Raw genomic sequence first — 5,086 nt, 5'->3', positions numbered from 1 at the left:
TAGAAGAGAGACAAGAAGCAGGTTACTCAGACTTATCATGACCCTGTCACCCAGTTCCTAACCCCACAACCCAATCACCTGAATGAGCTGTTGACAGCCCTTCATAATGACTTCTTTGTGTACCTCCTAGTACTCTTCACCTACAGGATGCCCAACCAACCAACGGGAATGAGAAACAGGATGTTACTGGGAACAAGTGTCTCTTTGCTCATCTCAAGTTCCTTCAGCCATAAAATGGGGGTAGAAATCATTGCCCAGCCCACCTTAGAGGGTTGCTGGAGGATTCTAAAAGATAACTGATTGAAGAAGTATATTGCAAGCTGTAAAGCCCACAGACTTGTTAGAGAATGGTGTTCTGATACCCTCTCTTCTCATATCACATTCCCCTCGACACCCCTCTCCCCAACCCTCTGTCAGAAAATAAGCAGGGGTAGTGGGATAAACCTAGCAGAAATCTGTGTTTTCTTCTGCTTTAGACATGTGAGGATGGCAGGCTCTGTGAAGAGCATCCAAGTCCTCCTCTTCTTGGGACTTTGCCCTAAATAACCTTTGCATGGACAGAGTGTTGTTGCTTCAAGGTGTTCATGCCCAGGGCGTTAAAAATGAGCTAATTAGGGATTACGATTAGGTTTGAATTCCTGAACGCAACACTTGGTATTATTGCTGCCCTCTCAGAGACAATTGAGTAGTCACTAATTTCTAAGACTTCAATACCTTTAGGGCTTCCTGGACTGCCTAGGATAGGCATAGCATGATCTCATAAGCCCAGGCTAGTAGCTTATTATCTCAGCAATCATCTGTTTTCTAAGAATTCTCCCCAGGGCCAGTTCCTGGTATAGTTCTGATTGTTATCTTTGTACCCTCTATGTGACATTCTAGCTCACTCTGCCCAGGCATAGTAGAAGGGGACAGGATTGGAGATCAGAACATCTGGGTTCCAGGAATGACTGTCACAGACAAAGTTGGTGGCTTTGGTTAAGTCACTCCTATCTTCTGGTCTTCAATTTTCTTTTCTATAAAAAAAAGTATTAAAATATTTTCATATGTGAATTTTTCCCGTGGAAAGTGTCTCTGACTGTCATCATTTTCTCAAAAGCGTCTATGACTAATAAAGATTAAGAATCCTTGGACTGGTTGATTTATAATCTAATTTATCTTTTTTTGTTTCTTTTTGAGACAGAGTCTCACTCTGTTGCTCAGTCTGGAGTGCAGTGGGGTGATCTTGGCTCACCTCCACCTCCCAGACTCAAGCAATTCTCCTGCCTCAGCCTCCCAAGTAGCTGAGATTACAGGTGTGTGCCACTACACCCGGCTAATTTTTGTATTTTTAGTAGAGACCAGTTTTGGCCTTGTTGGCCAGGCTGGTGTCAAACTCCTGGCCTCAAGTGATTCACCAGCCTTGGCCTCCCAAAATGCTGGGATTACAGGCGAGAGCCACTGCACTCAGCCTTATAATCTAATTTAGGATGATTCTTTGGTTCTGTACATTTAGGGATATCATACATCTAACTGTTGAGCAAGTTTTTGACTGCCAACTGTATGCTAGGTCCTTTGATGTGGCCCAAGGATGCAAAAGTAATGAAGACACCTTCCAAGGAAGCCACTCTCCCATGGAGGAGACAGATCCACAAAAACAAAACAAAAAAAGCCTTAAAATAAGATGTCCAAAATACAATGATGGAGAAACACAGGGCATTTGAGGAACAGAATACCTGGAAATGTTTGTAACTTCTCCTCCTCACATGAAAGTCACAAACTGCTGAAAAGAGAGGAGTTTTTAAGAGTTTCCTTGCAAGTTTAAAAAGTAGAGGGCGCTTTCCCTCTCAGTCAATCTGAAGGCCCAGGCTCCCACCGAACTCCTTTCTCCACGACCCTCCAGCCATGGCCTCTCTCCTTGTGCTGCTAGCAAGCTTGTTGAACTTAAGTGGGAATGGGCCTCTTCCTTTCTGGATATAACCCCGAGTATGTATTCCTCAGACCTCCTCCTTCTGGGATGAGAAGCCCCACACCTTCTATTAGCCCTGGAGTCCTACCAACATTCCTTTTCCTGCCCTTGTTGGGGGGACTCTCTTGGGCCCCTTTCGCATCCAGCACTCCTGGAGTGGACTCAGGAATGCTGATGAATGCATTATTATCACACAGGCATGCTATTCTTGCTTGAGTGTCAATTTGAGCAGTTTCCAGTGAACTTATGGCTCTGCAGAAAGCATTGTTAAATGGGAAATTTATTTAAAAAAAGAAAAGCAAGAATATTTATATGGCACATGGCAGGCCAGAGAGGCAGATGCTATAGAGGTCTGGGTTCTAGTCCTGGTTTCCTTACATGTGCCCTGGGTCCAAGCCTTTCCATGTGTTGCTACCCCGTAGTCCTGGCTACCATCACCTCTGCCTTCACTTAACTTCCATGTATACCTCATCATAATTTATTCTCCATATGGCAGCCAGAGGGATCTTTTTAAAATGTAAATCAGAGCATGCCACTCCCCTGCTAAAAATTTTCAAATAGTTTTGCTGCACTTAGGATGAAATCCAAACTCCTCGACTAATCCTGTAATACCTTCCATATTCCGACGTCTGCCTACCTCTCTAGCCCTATCCTGAACCCCTCTCCTCACTGTCTAAGCTCTCTGACCTTCTGTCTGTCCCTTCATCACAGGAATGTCATTTCTGCCTCAGGACTTTTGCATCTGCAGTTTTTGTTGACTGAACTATATTCCCCCAAGACCTAGGCATGGCTCCTTCCTCTTACAAGTCAGGGCTTAGTTTCAAAGATAACTGTTTTTTCTTCTTTTTAAAGAGGTCTTTTCTGATCATTTCATCTAGAGCTTCCCCACTTACTCCATCACAGCTTTTTTATTCTGCTTTCTTTTACTCTTTTCATGGTATTTATTTATTGTAATTTGAAATTATTTTGTTAGTTTGTTACATGCCTTCCCTGTTCCCCTCATCGACTGTCCCAATCACTAGAGCATCTAGAATAGGGTGTAAGCATAACAGATCATCAATAAGTTGTTGAATGATCAAGTGAGTAAGTATGCTAAAGGTCATTTAATATACCTGAGCCCCAAATTCTTTAGCAATAAAATGGGGAAGAAGGTCTGCTTAGCTACATATTGGATCTTTTTTTTTTGGAGACGGAGTCTCGCTCTGTCGCCTAGGCTGGAGTGCAGTGGTGCAATCTCGGCTCACTGCAAGCTCTGCCTCCCGGTTTCACGCCATTCTCCTGCCTCAGCCTCCCGAGTAGCTGGGACTACAGGCGCCCACCATCACGCCCAGCTAATTTTTTGTATTTTTAGTAGAGATGGGGTTTCACCATGTTAGCCAGGATGGTCTTGATCTCCTGACCTCGTGATCCACCCACCTCGGCCTCCCAAAATGCTGGGATTACAGGCGTGAGCCACCACGCCCGGCCTACATATTGGATCTTTAATCATTGTTAGAAAACTCTCTGTGGTAGATATTGGTGTTATAGCCGCAGAAGAAATGGAAAGCCAGATGGGCTAAATAATTGCCTAAAATCATAGTTGTGGCCTGAAAGTTTATCCTCATTAAGATGCCTATAAAGATTTGGGAGAGAGAAGCAGGGGAGAGAAATTTTCTATGTTCTTCCAAGTTTTAAATCTCCCCAAAAAGCCACTCATTGGAGAATGGAGTCATATACTATCTATCTAGTACTCCCGGCAGCAAGGTCTGTGGCTAGAACTCTATTCCCACACAGAATTCTTCTGCATCTGATTCATTCTGAGCACACCCACCACATTCAGTCATTCATTTGCTTGTATAGGTTGGTGCAAAAGTAATCGCGGTTTTTGCTATTACTTTCAAAGGCAAAAACCACAATTACTTTCGCACCAACCTAATACATCAATTCATTGCATACATGCTGTTAGCAGCCAGTCACTATTGTAGCTTCAGGGAGGAACCCCCTGATTCATAATAAGGGTATGTCCCTGGAATCCCCTAGAAAGGGATAGTCCCCAATGGGGTCTATTGGTCAAACTCGAATTCTTGAGGCTAATTAAGGTAAGGCATTTAAAAAGCTTGTTAGGCCAGGTGAGGTGGCTCACGCTTGTAATCTCAGCACTTTGGGAGGCCACGGTGGGCAGATTACTTGAGGCCAGGAGTTCGAGACCAGTCTGGCCGACATTGCAAAACCCTGTCTCTACTAAAAATACAAAAATTAGCCAGAGGAGGTGGCACAGGCTTGTAATCCCAGCTACTCAGGAGGCTGAGGCAGGAGAATTACCTGAACTCGGGAGGTGGGGCTTGCAGTGAGCTGAGATCGTGCCACTGCACTCCAGCCTGGGTGACAGAGCGAGACTCTGTCTCAAAAAAAAAAAAAAAAATGAACAAATAAATAAAATGCTTGTTACCCAGGGTTCTGGCATGGAGTAGGCACTCAGAGATGTTAGTGATAATGATGTTAGAACATGGACCTTTTTCCTCAGCCAGGCTGTCTAGAAGAGGAGAAAGATTTAAAATGCCCTTGGCAATTTTTCCCTCTCAGAGTCATCCTGTTAGAGAAATCCAGCTCACATGATTCCCATTGCCTTTTCCGAAATCCACAGCCTGTACAAGCAACTGAAAGTAATAAGCATAATTTAAATGCTGTGTCTTTCCTAATTAAAATCCATCCAGAAAGGGATGCCAGGGTTATTTTTGTCTATGTGGCAGAGGAAGTTTTATTATATAAACCCAGCCTTTTCAACAGTCCAAGAGGAGGTGTGTCCGTGTGTGCATGTGTGTGTCCCTGTGTGTGCACGCATGCACCCATATGCATGTAGCAAGAGTTTGGGGGTGCAACCAGGAATGCATAGTTGGCACTGAACAGGTTGAAGGGTCTGAATTTTCAAAGGAAGCTGTTGATGGAACCACTGGCAATTGCTTCCCAAGGCATCTTAGGCTGGTGAAGAACCCTGGAGTCTGCCTTGGCCCTCCTTGCTAGTTCTAAAGAAACATGCTGGGATGGCTTTTCCATGAGGGGATGTTGACCTAGCTCTCTCAGCAGAGGCTCCGCATGCTTGGTGGCTCTTCTTGGAAACACTGGTTGCCAGAGCAGCTGTGTCAGCCTGGTTCTCCAGAAAAG

General features: G+C 44.5%; 1 annotated feature.

Annotated features, from left to right (window-relative positions):
- Positions 3,736–3,955: a silencer, noted in NCBI's record as "silent region_8732". NCBI's record gives its function as "represses an Ori minimal core promoter by ATAC-STARR-seq in GM12878 lymphoblastoid cells {active_cell/tissue: GM12878}" and the evidence as "EXISTENCE:reporter gene assay evidence [ECO:0000049][PMID:35858748]".

Source organism: Homo sapiens, chromosome 17 (genome assembly GCF_000001405.40).
Source record: "Homo sapiens chromosome 17, GRCh38.p14 Primary Assembly".
Classification (NCBI taxonomy): Eukaryota; Metazoa; Chordata; class Mammalia; order Primates; family Hominidae; genus Homo; species Homo sapiens.
The sequence above is the reverse complement of the archived record's forward strand: the minus strand, read 5'-3'. Positions and strand labels throughout refer to the sequence as shown.